Source organism: Homo sapiens, chromosome 17 (assembly GCF_000001405.40).
Source record: "Homo sapiens chromosome 17, GRCh38.p14 Primary Assembly".
NCBI classification, from domain to species: domain Eukaryota; kingdom Metazoa; phylum Chordata; class Mammalia; order Primates; family Hominidae; genus Homo; species Homo sapiens.
In genome coordinates this window covers 51312609-51335246 of record NC_000017.11, presented here as the reverse complement: position 1 = coordinate 51335246, position 22638 = coordinate 51312609, and the positions used below count along the sequence as shown (strand labels likewise).

The 22638-nt window shown below is 42.3% G+C and overlaps 1 long non-coding RNA gene across 1 annotated transcript, besides 3 other annotated features; it reads left to right on the top strand.

Moving 5' to 3' along the window:
- Positions 1 to 84: 84 nt before the first annotated feature.
- Positions 85 to 22638, top strand: LINC02071 (long intergenic non-protein coding RNA 2071). Its single transcript, NR_110751.1, has 6 exons — positions 85 to 901; positions 1129 to 1535; positions 2119 to 2247; positions 11515 to 11614; positions 13571 to 13661; positions 22463 to 22638. It is a non-coding gene; the product is annotated as a long intergenic non-protein coding RNA 2071 (long non-coding RNA).
- Positions 2564 to 3064: an enhancer, noted in NCBI's record as "H3K4me1 hESC enhancer chr17:49409544-49410044 (GRCh37/hg19 assembly coordinates)". NCBI's record gives its function as "activates a minimal SCP1, AML or CMV promoter by ChIP-STARR-seq in primed H9 embryonic stem cells {active_cell/tissue: H9 hESC(primed)}" and the evidence as "EXISTENCE:reporter gene assay evidence [ECO:0000049][PMID:30033119]".
- Positions 3957 to 4476: an enhancer, noted in NCBI's record as "NANOG hESC enhancer chr17:49408132-49408651 (GRCh37/hg19 assembly coordinates)". NCBI's record gives its function as "activates a minimal SCP1, AML or CMV promoter by ChIP-STARR-seq in naive H9 embryonic stem cells {active_cell/tissue: H9 hESC(naive)}" and the evidence as "EXISTENCE:reporter gene assay evidence [ECO:0000049][PMID:30033119]".
- Positions 15643 to 15732: an enhancer, noted in NCBI's record as "active region_12403". NCBI's record gives its function as "activates an Ori minimal core promoter by ATAC-STARR-seq in GM12878 lymphoblastoid cells {active_cell/tissue: GM12878}" and the evidence as "EXISTENCE:reporter gene assay evidence [ECO:0000049][PMID:35858748]".

Here is a 22638-nt window from a genome sequence, read left to right as displayed (position 1 = left end):
TGGGAGTAATTAGGTCATAAGGGTGGAGCTGTCATGAATGGGATTAGTGCCTCATAAAAGAGACCCCAGAGAGCTCTCTAGCTCTTTCTGCCATGTGAGGATAAGAAGTCAGCAGTCTGCAACCCAGAAGAGGGCCCTAACCAGAAAGTTGTTGTGGCCCTGATCTGACTTCCAGCCTCCAGAACTATAAGAAGTCAATGTCTGTTGTTTACAAGCCACTCTGTCTTGACTTTTGTTACAGGAGCCCAAATTAACTAAGATAACCCTATCTGAGACTGGGCACAGTGGCTCACGCCTGTAATCCCAGCACTTTGGGAGGCTGAGGAAGGCAGATCTACAAGGTCAGGAGTTTGAGACCAGCCTGGCCAACATGGTGAAACCCCATCTCTACTAAAAATACAAAAATTAGCCAGGCACGGTGGTACACGCCTGTAATCCCAGCTACTCAGGAGGCTGAGTCAGGATAATTGCTTGAACCTGGGAAGCAGAGGCTACAGTGAGCCAAGATTGTGACACTGCACTCCAGCCTGGGCAACAGAGCAAGACTCTGTCTCAAAAAAAAAAAAAAAAAAACCCATCTGGAGAAAACTAAAAAGCTCAGTCTTTCCCCTGGGCCCAGAATGCCCTTCTTCCCCTGCCCTAGGAAAGCCCAGTCACCTCTGAGGAGGCAGCAACATCCTGGCTCCTCCCACTTGCTTTCAGTGCATCCCCACGTCCATTCTCTCATGGAACCCTGTGCACATCTCTATCTGAGCACCCGTAAGACTGTGTTCTGCTAGCTCATGTGTTCATCATCTCCGTGTTGACTGTAAACTTCACTTTGTACCTTGTCCCCCAGAATCCAGCACCGAATCTGGCACACTGAATGAATGAATGAGTGAATCAAAGAATGAGTGGGCAAGTAAGTGAATAAATTAACGAGCTTCCCTGGAGTGATGACATAGAATTGTTTCTTAATTATTTTATAGGTTTCTCCTCTTTCCAGCTTCTATATCACAACAGGATGATTCTAAAGGGCCATCCCAGCTTCAGAGTTCCCTGGGGGCTAGCTGAGGCTTTCACTGGGACTTCATCAGTGCTCAGCTTCTTCATCTGCCCCATCCTGCTTCCAACTCATTCTTTCCACAGGTGTTGATCCGAAGCACATTCCTCGTAAATCTCCTGCATACAAATCTCCATCTCAGAGCTAGCTTCTGGGAACCCTCATGCTACAAGTCATTAGGAACATGGATTTTGGACACTTCTAACAAGCCTGAGTTTTAGTCCTGGCTCTTGTACTTACTTGCACTGTAACCTAGAGAAAAATTACCTAACTTCTCAGAGGCTTCATCTGCAATAGAAATGAATTCATTGAGTCGTGGGAGTTCAATGAAATGTTGTTTGAAGCACATTTAGCACAGCACCCGGTACACTGATAAGTGCTCACTAAAGGATTACTTGTATCATCATCAATATTGCATGGTCCAAGGCACATGGCAAGGCTATGGAACACACAGAAGCCAACTAGATTGGCTACAAGGCCAGCCTCAAGAGAGGTAGGTCCACTCTGGCTTTCAAGAGGTGGTGGTTGGGCCTGTAGTCATATGGTAGTGGTACCTGGAGTGTGCATGCACCATGGGCTGTATGATGGGTTCTTTGGGAGTTGGTGGGATTTCAGAATGAAGTCTATAGTCCAGGTACTCCACCAGTCCTCAAGCAAGTTCCATGCATCATGGGGAACTAGAATTTAATCAGCTGCTAGAGAAAGCAATAATGCATTTTTCCAATGGTGCAAGTGGTATTGTCCTAGGGGGATGCAAGTCTGAAATCTGTATCAGACTATGGAGGGAGGTACTGCTTTTCTGACTAGGATGCTAGAGACAGACCTGAATACATGCACAGATATGTTGTGCTTTGAGTAAATTTGGCTTTGTTTAATCTCTTCTCTTAGTCTTAGAAGCCACAGCTGCAAAAGCACTTTTGTCTCTTAAAACATCAGGAAACACAAAAGGGATGGTCCCTTGTTAAAGGTCTTGGATGTTCTGTTCTCACTTAGTCCTATTAATGAATACTAGGTGAGAGAGTTTCAAAAACGAATAGGACCAGATCCCTACCCTTGAGACACTGATATTCTTATAGGAAGAAACAGATATATATAAAAAAATACAGGGGCGGAGGAGCCAAGATGGCCGAATAGGAACAGCTCCGGTCTACAGCTCCCAGCGTGAGCGACGCAGAAGACGGGTGATTTCTGCATTTCCATCTGAGGTACTGGGTTCATCTCACTAGGGAGTGCCAGACAGTGGGCGCAGGTCAGTGGGTGCAGCGCACCATGCGTGAGCCGAAGCAGGGCGAGGCATTGCCTCACTCAGGAAGTGCAAGGGGTCAGGGAGTTCCCTTTCCTAGTCAAATAAAGGGGTGACAGATGGCACCTGGAAAATCGGGTCACTCCCACCCAAATACTGCGCTTTTCCAACGGGCTTAAAAAACGGCACACCAGGAGATTAAATCCCGCACCTGGCTGGGAGGGTCCTATGCCCACGGAGTCTCGCTGATTGCTAGCACAGCAGTCTGAGATCAAACTGCAAGGTGGCAGTGAGGCTGGGGGAGGGGCGCCCACCATTGCCCAGGCTTGCTTAGGTAAACAAAGCAGCCGGGAAGCTCGAACTGGGTGGAGCCCACCACAGCTCAAGGAGGCCTGCCTGCCTTTGTAGGCTCCACCTCTAGGGGCAGGGCACAGACAAACAAAAAGATAGCAGTAACCTCTGCAGACTTAGATGTCCCTGTCTGACAGCTTTGAAGAGAGCAGTGGTTCTCCCAGCACGCAGCTGGAGATCTGAGAACAGGCAGACTGCCTCCTCAAGTGGGTCCCTGACCCCTGACCCCTGAGCAGCCTAACTGGGAGGCACCCCCCAGTAGGGGCAGACTGACACCTCACACAGCCGGGTACTCCTCTGAGACAAAACTTCCAGAGGAACGATCAGACAGCAGCATTTGTGGTTCATGAAAAACCACTGTTCTGCAAACACCGCTGCTGATACCCAGGCAAACAGCGTCTGGAGTGGACCTCTAGCAAACTCCAACACACCTGCAGCTGAGGGTCCTGTCTGTTAGAAGGAAAACTAACAAACAGAAAGGACATCCACACCAAAAACCCATCTGTACATCACCATCATCAAAGACCAAAAGTAGATAAAACCACAAAGATGGGGAAAAAACAGAGCAGAAAAACTGGAAACTCTAAAAAGCAGAGCACCTCTCCTCCTCCAAAGGAACACAGTTCCTCACCAGCAATGGAACAAAGCTGGATGGAGAATGACTTTGATGAGTTGAGAGAAGAAGGCTTCAGACGATCAAACTACGAGCTACAGGAGGAAATTCAAACCAAAGGCAAAGAAGTTAAAAACTTTGAAAAAATTTAGATAAATGTATAACTAGAATAACCAATACAGAGAAGTGCTTAAAGGAGCTGATGGAGCTGAAAGCCAAGGCTCGAGAACTACATGAAGAATGCAGAAGCCTCAGGAGCCAATGCGATCAACTGGAAGAAAGGGTATCAGCGATGGAAGATGAAATGAATGAAATGAAGCGAGAAGGGAAGTTTAGAGAAAAAAGAATAAAAAGAAACTAACAAAGCCTCCAAGAAATATGGGACTATGTGAAAAGACCAAATCTACGTCTGATTGGTGTACCTGAAAGTGACGGGGAGAATGGAACCAAGTTGGAAAACACTCTGCAGGATATTATCCAGGAGAACTTCACCAATCTAGCAAGGCAGGCCAACATTCAGATTCAGGAAATACAGAGAATGCCACAAAGATACTCCTCAAGAAGAGCAACTCCAAGACACATAATTGTCAGATTCACCAAAGTTGAAATGAAGGAAAAAATGTTAAGGGCAGCCAGAGAGAAAGGACGGGTAACCCACAAAGGGAAGCCCATCAGACTAACAGCAGATCTCTTGGCAGAAACTCTAGAAGCCAGAAGAGAGTGGGGGCCAGTATTCAACATTCTTTTTTTTTTTTTTTTTTTTCAGTATTTATTGATCATTCTTGGGTGTTTCTCGGAGAGGGGAGTTTGACAGGGTCATAGGACAATAGTGGAGAGAAGGTCAGCAGATAAACATGTGAACAAAGGTCTCTGGTTTTCCTAGGCAGAGGACCCTGCGGCCTTCCGCAGTGTTTGTGTCCCTGGGTACTTGAGATAAGGCAGTGGTGATGACTCTTAACGAGCATGCTGCCTAGAAGCATCTGTTTAACAAAGCACATCTTGCACCACCCTTAATCCATTTAACCCTGAGTTGACACAGCACATGTTTCAGAGAGCACGGAGTTGGGGGTAAGGTTCGTAGTTCTCCTTGAAAAGGTCCTTCACATCCCTTGTAAGTTGGATTCCTAGGTATTTTATTCTCTTTGTGAATGGGAGTTCACTCATGATTTGGCTCTCTGTTTGTCTGTTATTGATGTATAGGAATGCTTGTGATTTTTGCACATTGATTTTGTATCCTGAGACTTGGCTGAAGTTGCTTATCAGCTCAAGGAGATTTTGGGCTGAGACGATGGGGTTTTCTAAATATACAATCATGTCATCTGCAAACAGGGACAATTTGACTTCCTCTTTTCCTAATTGAATACCCTTTATTTCTTTCTCCTGCCTGATTGCCCTGGCCAGAAATTCCAACACTATGTTGAATAGGAGTGGTGAGAGAGGGCATCCCTGTCTTGTGCCAGTTTTCAAAGGGAATGCTTCCAGTTTTTGCCCATTCAGTATGATATTGGCTGTGGGTTTGCCATAAATAGCTCTCATTATTTTGAGATACGTTCCATCAATACCTAGTTTATTGAGAGTTTTTAGCATGAAGGGCTGTTGAATTTTGTTGAAGGCCTTTTCTGCATCTATTGAGATAATCATGTGGTGTTTGTCATTGGTTCTGTTTATGTGATGGATTACGTTTATTGATTTGCATATGTTGAACCAGCCTTGCATCCCAGGGATGAAGCCAACTTGATCATGGTGGATAAGCTTTTTGATGAGCTGCTGGATTCGGTTTGCCAGTATTTTACTGAGGATTTTTGCATTGATGTTCATCAGGGATATTGGTCTAAAATTCTCTTTTTTTGTTCTGTCTCTGCCAGGATTTGGTATCAGGATGATGCTGGCCTCATAAAATGAGTTAGGTAGGATTCTCTCTTTTTCTATTGATTGGAATAGTTTCAGAAGGAATGGTACCAGCTCCTCTTTGTACCTCTGGTAGAATTTGGCTGTGAATCCATCTGGTCCTGGACTTTTTTTGGTTGGTAAGCTATTAATTATTGCCTCAATTTCAGAGCCTGTTATTGGTCTATTCAGAGATTCAACTTCTTCCTGGTTTAGTCTTGGGAGGGTGTATGTGTCCAGGAATTCATCCATTTCTTCTAGATTTTCCAGTTTATTTGCATAGAGGTGTTTATAGTATTCTCTGATGGTAGTTTGTATTTCTGTGGGATCGGTGGCGATATCCCCTGTATCATTTTTTATTGCGTCTATTTGATTCTTCTCTCTTTTCTTCTTTATTAGTCTTGCTAGCAGTCTATCAATTTTGTTGATCTTTTCAAAAAACCAGCTCCTGGATTCACTGATTTTTTGAAGGGTTTTTTGTGTCTCTATCTCCTTCAGTTCTGCTCTGATCTTAGTTATTTCTTGCCTTCTGCTAGCTTTTGAATTTGTTTGCCCTTGCTTCTCTAGTTCTTTTAATTGTGATGTTAAGGTGTTGATATTAGGTCTTTCCTGCTTTCTCTTGTGGGCATTTAGTGCTATAAATTTCCCTCTACATACTCCTTTAATTGCGTCCCAGAGATTCTGGTATGTTGTGTCTTTGTTCTCATTGGTTTCAAACAACATCTTTGTTTCTGCCTTCATTTCGTTACTTACCCCATAGTCATTCAGGAGCAGGTTGTTCAGTTTCCATGTAATTGTGCAGTTTTGAGTGAGTTTCTTAATCCTGAATTCTAATTTGATTGCACTGTGGTCTGAGAGACACTTTGTTGTGATTTCTGTTCTTTTACATTTGCTGAGGAGTGCTTTACTTACAACTGTGTGGTCAGTTTTGGAATAAGTGTGATGTGGTGCTGAGAAGAATGTATATTCTGTTGATTTGGGGTGGAGAGTTCTGTAGATGTCTATTAGGTCTGCTTGGTGCAGAGCTGAGTTCAAGTCCTGAATATCCTTGTTAAACTTCTGTCTCATTGGTCTGTCTAATGTTGAGAGTGGGGTGTTAAATTCTCCCATTACTATTGTGTGGGAGTCTTAAGTCTCTTTGTAGGTCTCTAAGGACTTGCTTTATGAATCTGGGTGCTCCTGTATTGGGTGCATATATATTTAGGATAGTTAGCTCTTCTTGTTGAATTGATCCCTTTACCATTATGTAATGTCCTTCTTTGTCTCTTTTGATCTTTGTTGGTTTAAAGTCTGTTTTATCAGAGACTAGGATTGCAACCCCTGGCTTTTTTTGCTTTCCATTTGCTTGGTAGATCTTCCTCCATCCTTTTATTTTGAGCCTATGTGTGTCTCTGCATGTGAGATGGGTCTCCTGAATACAGCACACTGATGGGTCTTGACTCTTTATCCAATTTGCTAGTCTGTGTCTTTTAATTGAGGCATTTAGCCCATTTACATTTAAGGTTAATATTGTTATGTGTGAATCTGATCCTGTCATTATGATGTTAGCTGGTTATTTTGTCCATTCGTTGATGCAGTTTCTTCCTAGCATCAGTGGTTTTTACAATTTGGCATGTTTTTGCGGTGGCTGGTACCGGTTGTTCCTTTCCATGTTTAGTGCCTCCTTCAGGAGCTCTTGTAAGGCAGGCCTGGTGGTGACAAAATCTCTCAGCATTTGCTTTTCTGTAAAGGATTTTATTTATCTTTCACTTATGAAGCTTAGTTTGGCTGGATATGAAATTCTGGGTTGAAAATTCTTTTCTTTAAGAATGTTGAATATTGGCCCCCACTCTCTTCTGGCTTGTAGACTTTCTGCCAAGAGATCCACTGTTAGTCTGATGGGCTTCCCTTTGTGGGTAACCCAACCTTTCTCTCTGGCTGCCCTTAACATTTTTTCCTTCATTTCTCCCTTGGCGAATCTGATAATCATGTGTCTTGGGGTTGTTCTTCACCAGGAGTATCTTTGTGGTATGCTCTGTATTTCCTGAATTTGAATGTTGGCCTGCCTTGCTAGCTTAGGGAAGTTCTCCTGGATAATATTGTGAAGACTGTTTTCCAATTTGGTTCTATTCTCCCCGTCGCTTTCAGGTACACCAGTCCAACATAGATTTGGTCTTTTCACATAGTCCCATATTTCTTGGAGGCTTTGTTTCTTTTTATTCTTTTTTTCTCTAAACTTCTCCTCTTGCTTTATTTCATTAATTTGATCTTCAATCACTGATACCCTTTCTTCCACTTGATTGAATCAGCTATTGAAGCTTGTGCATGTGTCACATAGTTCTTGTGCCATGGTTTTCAGCTTCATCAGGTCATTTAAGGTCTTCTCTACACTGTTTATTCTAGTTTGCCATTCGTCTAACCTTTTTTCAAGGTTTTTAGCTTCCTTGCGATGGATTCAAACATCCTCCTTTAGCTCAGAGAAGTTTGTTATTACCGACCTTCTGAAGCCTACTTCTGTCAGCTCGTCAAAGTCATTCTCCATCCAGCTTTGTTCCGTTGCTGGTGAGGAGCTGCGATCCTTTGGAGGAGAAGAGGCGCTCCAGTTTTTAGAATTTTCAGCTTTTCTGCTCTGGTTTCTCCCCATCTTTGTGGTTTTATCTACCTTTGGTCTTTGATGCTGGTGACCTACAGATGGGGTTTGGGTGTAGATGTCCTTTTTGTTGATGCTGGTGACCTACAGATGGGGTTTTGGTGTGGATGTCCTTTTTGTTGATGTTGATGCTATTCCTTCCTGTTTGTTAGTTTTTCTTCTAAGAGTCAGGTCCCTCAACTGCAGGTCTGTTAGAGTTTGCTGGAGGTCCACTCCAGACCCTGTTTGCCTGGATATCACCAGTGGAGGCTGCAGAACAGCAAATATTGCTGCCTGATCCTTCCTCTGGAAGCTTCATCCCAGAGGGGCACCCGCCTGTATGAGGTGTCAGTCAGCCCCTACTGGGAGATATCTCCTAGTTAGGCTACATGGGAGTCAGGGACCCACTTGAGGAGGCAGTCTGTCCATTCTCAGAGCTCAAACCCCATGCCAGGAGAACCACTGCTCTCTTCAGAAATGTCAGACAGGGTCAATAAACACATGTTTCTTAAGAGAAACAGGTGAAGTTCATGCCTGTAACCCCCCGCACTTTAAGAGGCTGATGCGGGAGGATCACTTGAACCCAGGAGTTCAAGACCAGCCTGGGAACCAGAAGGAGACCCCATCTCTATTCAGGAAAAAGAGAGAGAGAGAGAGAGAGAGAGAGAGAAACAGGTGAAAAACAGGAAAAAAATCTTAACAAATAAAAGTGAAGAGATAAAAAGAACTGAAGAGAAACTGACAAATATTGAAGGCAGGCAAAGAAGATCATACATACAGATAATAAAGTTCCTAAAAAAAACCACAAGAAGGGAACAGAACAGACACTAAAACTATAATTCAAGAAAACTTTCCTGAAATAAAAAAAGATTCCAGACTTCATATTAAAAGAGCGGACCTCATCCCTGAGGATATTTACCCAGAATAACCAGTACCAAGACATTCTAGTAAAATTACTGTACTTTAAATAACGTCTTTAGCTATAAAGAAAATTAAAGTACATGATTTAAGAAGGGAAAGAAATTCAGCTAATTATCAGACTCTTCAACAGCAATATTTTATGGTAAAGGAAATGGAATTCACATATTTAAGATGCCCAAGGAAAGAAAGAGCCAAGGATTTTATATCCAGTAAAACTGATCTTCAATTGTAAAAGGCACAGACAAATGTTATCAACATGCAATAAATCCCTTACCTCAAGTCCCCCCAGTTCTAAATGTTTATTGAAAAGGTCTAGAAATAAGGCCCAACCTCAGTAGTAATGATCATCACTAGCAGATTGTGGTCTTGATGTATAGTTTTGTATTAGGATTCTCTAGAGGGACAGAACTAATGGGATAGATGTATATATAAGGGGGAGTTTATTAAGGGGTACTGACTCACACAATCACAAAGTGAAGTGTGAACAGGCCACCTGCAAACTGAGGAGCAAGGAAGCCAGCTGAGCCCCAAAACCTCAAAAGTAGGGAAGCCGGCTAGGCGCGGTGGCTCACGCCTGTAATCACAGCACTTTGGGAGGCCAAGGCGGGCGGATTACCTGAGGTCAGGAGTTCAAGATCAGCCTGACCTTGTCTCTTCTAAAAATACAAAAATTAGCCAGGTGTGGTGGCACAAGCCTATAATCCCAGCTACTCAGGAGGCTGAGGCAGGAGAATTGCTTGAACCCAGGAGGCGGAGGTTGCAGTGAGCTGAGATTGTGCCACTCTACTCCAGCCTGGCTGACAGAGCAAGACTCTGTCTCAAAAAAAGAAAAAAAAAAAAGTAGAGAAGCCAAAAGCGCAATCTTCAGCCTGTGGCAAAAGGCCCGAAAGCCCTGGCAAACCAGTCGTGTAAGTCCAAGAGTCCAGAAGCTAAAGAACTCAGGATCCGATGTTTGAGGGCAGGAAGCATCTGGCATAGGAGAAAGACGAAGGCCAGAAGACTCAGCAAGTCTGCTGTTTCCATCTTCTGCCTGCTTTATTCTAGCCACGCTGGTAGCTGATTAGATTGAGCTCAGATTGTGCCCATCTAGATTGAGGGTGGGTCCACCTCTCCCAGTCCCCTAGCTCAAGTGTTAATCTCCTTTGGCAACACCCTCACAGACACACCCAGGAACAATACTTTGCATTCTTCAATCCAATCAAGTTGACACTCAATATTAACCATCACAAATTTCTTATCCAAAGAAACCAGTGATTCTCAGAGAAATGGCTCATTTTATGTCTGGAGCAGGATATATATGAGATGAGCCTGGAACACTTCTTCATGCCAAATAATAAGGAAACTATAAAAAAACACTATGATCATGTCAAAAGGACTTAGAATCAAACCTGAAGAAGCTTCCACTGACCAAAGATGGGGGACAACTTGAGCTTCAATGATGATAATAATTGCAATAGACCGGGGTGTCCAATCTTTTGGCTTCCCTGGGCCACACTGGAAGAAGACTTGTTTTAGGCCACACATAAAATAAACTAACAACAACTGATGAACTTAAAAAAAAATTGCAAAAATAATCTCATAATGTTTTAAGAAAGTTTACAAATTTGTGTTAGGCCACATTCAAAGCTATCTGGGCTGCATGCAGACTGTGGGCCACATGCTGGATAAGCTTGCAATAGACTAAAACCATCAAATATATTTAAACCTATGGATTCATAATGATATTTTTTAAAATGATTGGTCACCCTCAGAGGATGATAGGGAATTAATTCATTGTCTTGAAAACTGGTATGTAAAGGGGGAAAACTCCAGCATTAATCCAGCCTTTCCCATAGGAACTGCACCACTGGGTAAACAAATAATAAACAAGGGTAAGTTTCCCTTTATAAAAGTATCCCAACTAATAAATGGAAAAGAAATGATAGAATATCACCATTCTGCAGCCCTCAATAAAGTACGTATGAATGGTTACAAACATAAAAAGAGACCATTAGATATTATGCACTTCCTATAATCATGCCTAACACCACCTACAATCTTGCCAAAGAAACTGAACCTGAGTTCTAATCCAGTCTCTGAACTACCTGCCAATTTGTAGAAAACACAGAGGACTGAGGAACATGCTTAACTGCACCATGAGTATGCAGTCAGCAAAACCCAGACTATGGGAAACTCTACAAGCCAAAAGGCCTGAATTCTTCTACAGGCAAATTGGAAAGAAAAAAAAGAGGGATGGAGGAAGAATTTACTGAATAATCGCGGCTTTAAAAAATTATCACTTTTTTTTAATGAGCAAGACTAGAGTATCTTGAGATGCGCATTTGGATCTTTAAAAAAACTTTAAAAAGTAAATGATTACTACAAAGGTCAAGAAAGTGACTACTTATAGAGAGAGAGGGGTAGGCAATTGGGATGAGGGAAAGGGGCACAGGTTCTGGGGTGGGTGGCAAAGTTCTACTTCTTAACTCACGTGGCATTCACAATAATTCATTAAGCCGTGCATTTGTTAGGTGTGGGTTTTTGTATCTGTGTTTTATTTTTCAATAAAAAGTTGAAGTATTCTTAAGTAAATTGGGAACTTTCACTCACAGAGTTGATGGTAGTATAAACTGATAAAGGTTTTTATAAGGCAATTTAGCCATATCCTTTTCTATTTCAAATTCATACTGGTCCCATGTGCCTCATGGGTTTGGAGCAAATGAAGTCATTAATGTTACTGTGGATGGATAAATGTGAAGGACAAAGATAAACACATAAGATAAACTCAGGCTGACCAAGCCCCTAGTAAGTGTCAGGGACAGTGCTTGAACCCTTTACACAGGTCTGTGAGATAAGAATCATCATTTCAGATGTGGCACCTGAGGCCCAGAGAGACGTTCAGCAACTTACCCAGCATCACCCAGTCCACAAGTGAAACACCCCTTCATTTCAGAAGTGAATACTCCAGAGGTAAGAAAATAAGCAAGCAATAGCCCTACCCTGCCAACCTATCGGACAACAAAGACGGATGAAATCAATGCTTTTATTGAACAAAATGGAATGTTCTTGGTAATGTGTAAAAGCAAGAGGCCCAGAGGCCTTGAATAAGAAGTTATCCTTTGTATAAAATGCAAGTAAAAACTCATTAGTATCTTTCCAGTAATATCATATATATTACAATACTTGATATAAAATTAAATCATTCTGCAATTTTCAAATGCACAAATATATGTTAGGTTTTCTTTCAAGTTGAAGGGACTCAAGGTAATTCCACCCAACAGACAACTAAGTTAACTCCCAGCTGAAGGCTCAATGTACTCACTGCATGAGCAGGAACCCTCCAGCCTTCCAGAGACTGAGTAGCCCTCCTGAATCCTCCTGAGAGGCCTGCATCCTGGCCTCACAGAAACAGGTAGCGTTTTGACTGGTGGGTTTCTGGAAACTATCACCAGGCAGAATTCTGACAAAAGGAGGAGAAGCTGGAAGGAAAGAGAATTCACAAACATGAAAGTTGGTCAGGCAGGTCCCCAAGGGAAATACCATTCATTTCAGAGGCCACTCAGAGGGAGAAGGAGCACTGAACTCAGAGTCAGACCACCTGGGGTCCTGACTGCCATTCACTGGCTCTGTGACCTCAGATCAAGTCATTTAACATTTCTGAAACTCAGCCTTCCCAGGGGTATAGAAGGGTTAATAACACCTGCCCTGCCTATCTCCCAAGGCTGCTGTAGGTATCAGATGAGAAAATAATAACAGCTGGCATTTATTGAATGCTTGCTATGTGCCAGGCAGTGGGCCATGTGCTTTATATGTCGTAGCACCTTTTAATCCTCCATCAGCCCTCTGAAGTAGCTTTGATTGTTGTCCCTCAGTGAAGAAACTGAGACTTGGAGAGTTTAAATAATTTGCCCAAGTTAAGGCTGACGTTAAACCCAAGTAGACTGACTCCAGGTTCTGTGTTCTTAACTCTGATGCCATACTGCCTCCTAGAGCACATCTCTAGAAAGACCTTGTGTACTTAACACTCTACAACAGAAGGTGGCAGTAGGTATGAACTGTCACCTATAACTCAATTCCTCCAAAAGTGAAGCAGAGGGATGCTTCAAGGGCACTTGTAAGCAAAGATTGAGGAATGTAGGGTGATTCCATGATAAAAGTCCTCCAAATGCTCACTCAGACGAGACAGACTCTGCTAAGTAGCAGGAGGGGGCATTATATCCTCCCCCAACTCCCACCCCATCCCTGAGAGACAGCCACGCATGCTCTCTAGAGAGAATTTCCAGTTTCTAGGATTGCATGAGAGAGTCCACTTTTTGCAGAGGAGACAAAAAAAGACTTTTGAGCACAGAGTCAAGGCCTTTGTCACTTTCTAGTGATAAAAGACAGGGACTCCACAAAGAGACTGGAAGAGCATGGGGTACTGTCATAGAAAGAGCATTAAAATACAAATCAGGACACCTATGCTCAAGTATGAAGACCTGGATCCAAAGTCCAGCTCTAACATTAATTAACAAGTCGTTTAACCTTGGACAAAGCCTTCTCACTGTCAGGATGACTTCTAAGGTACTCAATAAACATTTGATTCCTACAACCCTATCTTCTCTGCCTTAACTGGCCCATGGGCACTGGGATAAGGGAAGATGAGTAAGCAGTTATGAAGTGCCTGTTACATACAATGTACGGTCAGAGTCTTTTAAAAATCATAGTAGGGGTAATAATACATATCAAGAACTTACCCTGTGTGGGACCCAGTGCTAAACGCCTTATCAATGTAGCAATTCTATGATAAGAAAAGTTAAAAGACAAAATGATTACCCCATGGAAATAAGACAAAATGATTACCGTGTCCTTTAAAAGTCATATTAGAGCATTGTGTAAGAAGGAAGAGTCACAGTAGCATTTTTTTCTTTTTTTTTTTTGAAACAGGGTCTCACTCTGTCACCCAGGCTGAAGTGCAGTGACAGGACCACGGCTCATTGCATCTTTGACCTCCTGGGCTCAGCCTCCAGATTAACTGGTACTACAGGAGTGGGCCACCCACACCTGGCTAATTTTCTGAGAGACAGGTTTCACCATGTTGCCCAGGTTGGTCTTGAACTCCTGGGCTCAAGAGATCTGCCCACCTTGGCCTCCCAAACTGCTGGGATTACAGGTGTGAGCCACCACACCCAGCCCACAGGAGCATTCTATTGCCAAACTGAAATGGGGAGGTGGGCAGAACCATCAAAGAGCAGACACCCACTGGAGACCCAGGAGCTTCAGGAAGAACCCAGGGCTGGAAAAAGAGAAGCAGTCAATAAATGCACAGGGAGCTTTCACAGTAGGACAAGGAATTCCAGAGGACAAGGGAGAGCAGGCTTGGGGAGAAATGGGGTGAGGGGAAGGCGCTGGCATGAAATACTCCTGGCCAACTTCTACTCACTCTTCTGAACTCAGCTTAAACATGGCTTCCTCAGGAAGACTTCCAGGACCCTTCAGACCAGGTCCTGTTTCCTTGCCCTATGCTCCCAAAGCACTATGCCTTTCTCTTTTGGTCATGTTTGTCCAACTTGTAATTAACTAATCCATGACTTTGCCTCTGTGAGTGCTGGGAATCCAGCGTGAACCACATAGTGCCTAACATCCACAGGAAGTCCATTGATTCTCATTGGGTGGATGGGAGGAGGGATGGGTGGGTGGATGGATGATCTGAAAATCCAGATGAGGGCAACAGAAGGAAGATGTTGCATTTGAGGAAGCAAGAGTTTGGGGGAGAACAGGAGGTATATAAAAATAACAGCATATAACCTTACTGGAACTTTTGGGAATTTGATTTTATTTTACAGAAAGCATATAGGCAAGCCTATATATGCTTTCTGAAGAAGAGGTAGGATCTACAATGAGGGAATTTTATCACTGCTTAGGTGTCAATGAGAAAATGCATTTGCCGGCTGCTGGCTAATTCAGTTTCATGGTTTATTTTCAACTCATCATTTTTAAAACTGACTTGAATTTTGTCTACAGCTACCTATAGTTAATCTGTCCTTGTGCCTCAACATTCCCTCTCAAGCTCTTCTTTACAATTTAAACCCCCAAATAGTCCCAATTCCAAATATTCTGACTTGCTGTCCAAAAACCATCAAAATACCTCGGAATTTTCATCATGTCTACATTCATACCATGCCTCCAAGACAGCGTCTCACATCTGAAAATGGCACAAAAATCCCTAGTTAGCCCATGTATCTTGATTTGGGACTCAGAAAATGTGCTTTTAGCCCTCACCTCATATTTACTCTGTAAACCAAACATAAAATTCTAAACCCCTCAACTGACTGAATGGACTGCTGCCTCTTGGCCAAGGGCATTTCCAAAATAAACCTGAAAAACTAGTTCAGGCCATGATAGGAAGGGAAGTCGAACATCCCTCATTATACCCTCCTCCCTTTGGAATTCAGGCACAACTGATCAGCATTATCATTAAACAGAGATATTAAGACTGACAAAACAGACTCTTTGTAGCAGTAAGATACCAAATTCCAACCTGACCCTAATATAGCATCACATGACAGATAGCAGGCCCTGAAAGAATTCAAAGTATTTTACCCAAAAATATATTTCTTTGACATATTTTGAAATGGCCCTGCAAAGCTCTCTCTTGTAGGAAAAATCCATATTCTGTAGAGAATCCCCTTCCCTTTCCTGGTCTTTTCTGATCCAGGAGATAGTTAATTGAGAGTCTGGCAGCTTTTTAGGTCTGATAAGAGACATTTGCCATCTATTCTCTCTGAAGCCAGCTACCTGGAGGCTTCATCTGCAATAATAAGAACTTTGGTTTCCACAACCTCTTATCTTAACCCAAATCTTCCTTTTTATTGATTCCAGGTCTTTAGATAATAACTTAACTCTTTCGACCAATTGCCAATCAGAAAATATTTGTTTTTTTTTTTTTTGCAGGGGGGATGGTACATGTAGGATATAATAATGCTTCTTCAAAGGTGTTAGCCTATAAATTGTTAAGTACAATGAGTTCTGAGATCCTCTCCAAAGAACCAATGTATCAGTATGTTCAGCTCCCCTGTTCTTTGTTCCTCATTTTAAAGCTTAACTTCCTCATTCTTTACATCTCCTTGTCCCTAGTTTCAGTAAACAACCCCCTCCTAGCCTCTATTACCTGCTCTGACCTTAGTCACCCTTGGTCACCTGCTCCGACCTTAGTCATCCTTGGTCACCTGCTCTGTTCTTAGTCATCTTGTACCTGTTCTGTAACTGTCCTTCCTGCCAAACTACTCTCCCTGCCACTCCAGCTCATACCCCTGCTCTCTTTAAAATAGCCCACTGGAATGAGCTTAGACTGTGTGATCCAACCCTAGCCAAAGGGGAACAACACAGCAGTAGGGGCTACCTGTGTCAGGGATAAGAACCCCTTCCACTCCCTTGTGCTCTCGCCATTGCTCCATCTGCAAAACGCACCCTTCTATAGAAGTAAAATTGCCTTGCTGAGAAAATTCATGTTCGAGTGCTATTTCTTTTGCGGCACCATAAATTTATTTCTAACAGTGCAGGAGGAAAGACAAGAGCTCACTCTGTTACCCAGGCTGGAGTGCAGTGGCTCACTGAAGCCTCGAATTCCTGGGATCGAGCTATCCTCCCACCTCCCACATAGCTGAGACTACAGACATGCACCACTGCACATGGCTAATTTTTAAAATTTTTTGTAGAGACAAGGTCTCACTATGTTGCCTAGGCTGGTCTCGAACTCCTGGGCTCAAGCAATCCTCCCACTTCAGCCTCCCAAAGTGCTGGGATTACAGGCATAAGCCACCACGCCCAAGCTAGAAAATATTTGAATCCACCTACAAGCTAGAAACCCTCCAGCCCTTCAAGTTGTCCAGGCATTCCAGACCGAACCAATGTATACCTTACATGTATACACACTGATGTCTGCCTGTATCTGAGACAGGTCTCAGTTAATTTAGAAAGTTTATTCTGCCGGCCAGGTGCGGTGGCTCACGCCTGTAATCCCAGCACTTTGGGAGGCTGAGGCGGGCGGATCACCTGAGGTCAGGAGTTCGAGACCAGCCTCAACATGGAGAAACCCTGTCTCTACTAAAGATACAAAATTAGCCAGGCGTAGTGGTGCATGTCTGTAATCTCAGCTACTCGGGAGGCTGAGGTAGGAGAATTGCTTGAACCCAGGAGGCGGAGGTTGCGGTAAGCCGACATCATGCCATTGCACTCCAGCCTGGGCAACAAGAGTGAAACTCTGTCTCAAAAAAAAAAAAAAAAAAGAAAAGAAAGTTTATTTTGCCAGAGTTGAGGATGCACACCCATGACACAGCCTCAGGAGGTCCTGACGACATGTGCCCTAATTGATTGGGGCATAGCTTGGTTTTACACATTGTAGAGAGACATGAGACATCAATCAGTACATGTAAGAGGTACACATTGGTTCTGTCCAGAAAGGCAGGATAACTTGAAGCAGGGAGGGGGCTTCCAGGTCACAGGTCGGTGAGAGACAAATGGTTGCATTCTTTTGAGTTTCTGATTAGCCTTTCCAAAGGAGGCAATCAGATGTGCATTTATCTCAGTGAGCAGAGGGATGACTTTGAATAGAATGGGAGGCAGGTTTGCCCTAAGTGGTTCCCAGTTTGACTTTTCCCTTTAGCTTAGTGATTTGGGGGCCCCAAGATTTTTTTTCCTTTCACATTTCCCCCCTTTTCTTTTGAAAAGCTTTGGGAGAAAGCATATTAGAAGGAAATGAATCTCTGGTCTCAGGTTTCATCTGATCTCTCATGGCTAGGACAGTTTATTCCTAGATGGTAGGTCCCAAGTTATCAGGAAAGTTCACCTTTAGCAGGCTGGGAAGTCTCATGTCCTAGGAAGAGAAAATAGGGGGAGGAATCGTGAAAAACAACAAAAAACAAAAGAACAATCCTGGAAAATTGATATAGGCCACATTATTCTGAAGTCCATACAAGCAGGTAAGAAAGTGGCTTACATATGTATATGGTTGCTGTTATTTTCTTCTGATGTTTAAGTTGTCTAGCTTCAGTTTGCAGAGTTTTAAGAAAGCACAGCTTAGTTTTCAGTTATTTCACGTTAGGAAAATGGTGCGGGGGGGGGAAGGAAAAGAAAAAAGAAAAAAATGGAAAACATTATTTTGGAGACTTGTAGCCAGGAAAAATTAGAATTGAGTCCAAACTGTAGAAAATAATAAAAACTGAAAAATATTAGGCAAGACTAGAATCTAACAACAGATGTATTATAGTTTTTGAAATATAATTTTTCTCTCTCCTGTTACCAATTTTTACAAAAGACAAATAATCATAGGACCAATTTGCTTTATTATACTTGGCTAGACTATTTCTATAAAGTGAAGCAAGAATAATTATTTTTCACATAGGCTTTTAAAATTGGCTTTGATGGAACTTTGTTCCACAGAAGGAATCTCAGATAAGACTTTTTAAAGCCAAGTCCAGTCATGGATTTGTACCATCGAATACCTATGAGTTGAGTAAATTCGTCTCTTCTTGAGGTCCCAAGATAACTTGGGGCTCCTGGGCCTGTCAGAAAGTGATATTCTTTACTTACCACAGATCAGGAACCCTATTCAGGAACTGTGTAGGCATGGTATGCAGCCAGTTTTCTTCTAAGGGGTTTTTATTGGCTCTATAAGTCAAGTTTGATTCCTTAAAGAAAAGCACGCCATTCCAGTCAAGCCTTTGGTAAAACAACCAGTTTCTCCAATTCTGTCCTGTTACAAATGAAAACAGATTCTTATTGCACTTATGCAAATAACTATATGGCCATAAGTTAGGAATACTCTCAAAAAGTTTCCAAATTCTGGAGAAATCAGGTAGCAAGAAGCAAATATGCTCTAAATTTTGTTTATAGGAGTATACTTTACTTAATTGTTAAACACTAGCCCAAAAGAAGTTTCCTTTACTCTGAAAAACAAAACAAAGGATCAGCAACATTTTAAGCAAAAACTAAAAAGATTACTCCAGTCTTCTATTAGTTCAGTCCACTCAGTTAATTCCTGTTCTGCTTAATACTCATAAATATTTCAGCTCTCCATGAGTCCTGCCATTTTTCCTCTATTCTGATGTCACAATCTCCAAAGTAATCAGAAACCTGCATTCAAGAGCACCTGTTAGAGTTTTATAGCTAATCAGCTATAAAACCACTTCCTAAAGAGGACCAAAACAAGACAACAATTGTCTGTGGATGGCAAAAAGTTTTAAGGCAGCCATAGTCAAAGACACAATTGACAAGGAATTACCTCTGTGGCACATAATAATTTAACATAACAATTATAATTATTCCTGATAACATACACTAAGTCAATCAGAATTATAGGAGTTTCCCATAATTTTGGAACACATACCAATAATATACAAATACAGCCCAAAGAAAGCCAAAAACCATTTCATATTTGACAAGGCTTCCTGTATAATTTTTATGCCAAATAAGCCAAATTATGTCATTTTTGGACTTTAGGGAAAGGAATATCTTAAAGGAATATTTATGTCAGAAAAAGTCATAATTTATAATTTGATTTTGGAAAGTTCGTCAGATATCAGAGGTTTAAAACACTTGATATCACAAAATAGGATCACAGGTCATTGTAAAATAAGTCATTCATTTAACCAAACTGATAACTCAAGGATTTCAAAAAAAGTCAAAAACCTTCGGTCTTCAAGAAACTTAATTTTCCAAACAATAAGCCCTAATAAAAAGAACATGAAGACAATTAGTTTTTCAAATTGTTATAAATTATAGAATTTTAATATTGACCATAAGATATAACATGAATAAGCCTTTTACAATCGTTGTAAGTTTTATTAAGAAGTCAGTTAATGCTTCAAGAAAATATTGTTAATCTGACAAAGGGGCCCATATGCTGGTCTTGCATCAGTGTACCTTTCACATTAATGGTTAATTTATAGAGAAACTGAACTTATTTTCTCTCTCAAAATCAGCCCTTATAATCTCATGCACCTACCTTTTCCACAATAGCCCCTGGGCCCTGAGGAGTTGAATAACTTTAATTTCTGGCCCTGTGTCTCAGGAACACAGTTTATTTTGATTGGCATCTTCTACCAGGCCAGAAGACGAGGGCTTAATTATTGCCAGTGTTTAAGATTTACAAAGACATAGTGTACTTTTTATTTTTTGTTTAATTTTATTCTTTTGAGGCAGGGTTTTGCCCTTGTTGCCCAGGCTGCAGTGCAATGGCGCGATCTTGGCTCGCTACAACCTCCGCCTCCTGGGTTCAAGCAATTCTCCTGCCTCAGCCTCCCAAATAACTGGGATTACAGATGCACACCACCACACCCAGCTAATTTTTGTATTTTTAGTAAAGATGGGGCCTCACCATGTTGGCAGGCTGGTCTTAAACTCTTGACCTCAGGTGATCTACCTGTCTAGGCCTCCCAAAATATTGAGATTACAGGTGTGAGCCACTGTGCCTGGCCTGGTGTCCTTTTTAGACCCAGGTGTCAAAGCCCTGTAACTCAATGTCACAAGGACTTTAAAAGCACATACAGAAAGATACACAGGTGTAATAATCTTAATTTAATTTAATTTTTTTGAGACAGAGTCTCGCCCTATTGCCCAGGCTGGAGTGCAGTGGCATGATCTCAGCTCACTGCAACCTCTGCCTCCCAGGTTCAAGCAATTCTCCTGCCTCAGCCTCCCAAGTAGCTGGGATTACAGGCGCACACCACCAGGCCCGGCTAATTTTTGTATTTTTAGTAGAGACAGAGGTTCACCACATTGGCCAGGCTGGTCTCAAACTCCTGACCTCATGATCCACCCACCTCAGCCTCCCAAAGTCCTGGGATTACAGGCGTGAGCCACTGCACCCAGCCAATAATCTTAATTTTAACAAAAACTTTTCACGCCTGTAATCCCGGCAATTTGGGAGGCCAAGGTGGGCAGATCACGAGGTCAGGAATCAAGATCTCCCAGCCAACATGGGGAAACCCCATGTCTACTAAAAATACAAAAATTAGCTGGATGTGGTGGCCCATGCCTGTAATCCCAGCTACTCGGGAGGCTGAGGCAAAAGAATCAATAAACCAGGGAGTCGGAGGTTGCAGTGAGCCAAGATCGCACCACTGCACTCCAGCCTGGCAACAGAGTGAGACTCTGTCTCAAAAAAAAAAAAAAAAAAACTTTTTTAATCTCAGTTTTTTTCTAATCAAACCAAAACTTAATAATAATGGCATGCGAATTATTTCAATAACACATAAAATCTGTTAAGCCAGTTACCAAAAGGCAAAAGAAAAGACCTTCTGCACTGCACAGAATATTATGTTGGAAGAAAACATTTGCTTTAGACCTTTAAGGAAACATTGTTGGCATAAGGCCACAACAAACAGAACCTGAGGGGGGCGGAAAAAACTTAAGCTGAAAATGGTTTGAAGAAGAGTGTTATTATTTCATGCCTTTTAAAGGGGGAGAGAAAACCAAAAATGGCAAGATGCAATAAAAGTTGAACTTTGGGTTAAAAAAATTAAAATCTCTTAAGAATAAATCAATCCCTTAAGAAAATTTCATTGTTCTGGCCAGACACGGTGGCTCATGCTTGTAATCCCAGCAATTTGGGAGGCCAAGGTGGGTGGATCATCTGAGGTCAGGAGTTCAAGACCAGCCTGGCCAACGTGGTGAAACCCCGTCTCTACTAAAAATGCAAAAATTAGCTGGGTGTGATGGCAAGTGCCTGTAATCCCAGCTACTCAGGAGGCTGAGGCAGGGGAATCACATGAACCCAAGAGGCGGAGGTTTCAGTGAGCCAAGATTGTGCCACTACACTCCAGCCTGGGCAAAAGAGTGAGACTCTGTCTCAAAAAAAAAAAAAAAAAATTTATTGTTCTAACCAATTTTTTAGTGTATAAGAGTTTTTTTTTTAATATCAAACCCAATCTCTAGAAAGGCCATTATATTTTCCCTTTAATTATAGACAACTTGATCATATAAATGCTTTTGGTATTTTTTAAAAATACTCATATAGAGGATCCATGACATGCTGGGACTTTCTGGTTTGTCCTGAACATCTCTCTCTTTTTTTTTTTTTTTTTTTTTTGGAGACGGAATTTCACTCGTTGCCCAGGCTGGAGTGCAGTGGCAAAATCTCAGCTCACTGCAATCTCTGCCTCCCAGGTTCAAGCAATTCTCCTGCCTCGGCCTCCCAAGTAGCTGGGAGTACAGGCGCATGCCACCACACCCAGCTAATTTTTTGTATTTTTAGTAGAGACAGGGTTTCACCATGTTGGCCAGGCTGGTCTCAAACTCCTGAACTCAGGTGATCCACCCGCCTCAGCCTCCCGAAGTGCTGGCATTTAGAGGCATGAGCCACTGCGCCCGGCCTGAACATCTCTCTTTCTTAAACGACCAGTCATTTTATTCTAGGACTAAATTTACCATACAAGATTCTTTCTCATATGAAATCATTTCTCTTGGCTGGGCATGGTGGCTCACACCTATAATCCCAGCACTTTGGGAGGCTGAGGCAGGTGGATCATTTGAGCTTGGGAGTTTGAGACGAACCTGGCCAACACGATGAAACCCCATCTCTACTAAAAATACAAAAATTAGCTGGGTATGGTGGCATGTACCTGTAATCCCAGCTACTTGGGAGGCTGAGGCAGGAGAATTGCTTGAACCCAGGAGACACAGGTTGCAGTGAGCCAAATTTTGTCACTGCACTCTAGCTGGGCGACAGAGTGAGACTCTGTCTGAAAAGAAAAAAAAAATCATTTCTCTTTAAGCTTTCCTACCAAAAAATACCTCTTTATTTCTATAACTTTCTCTTTTTGTTTGTTTTTTGAGCAGGGTCTCACTCTATCACCAAGGCTGGAATTCAGCGGCACAATCTCAGCTCACTACAACCTCTGCCACTGGGATTCAAACGATTATCCTGCCTCAGCCTCCCGAGTAGCTGAGATTACAGGTGCACACCACCACATCTGGCTAATTTTTGTATTTTTAGTAAAGATGAGGTTACACCA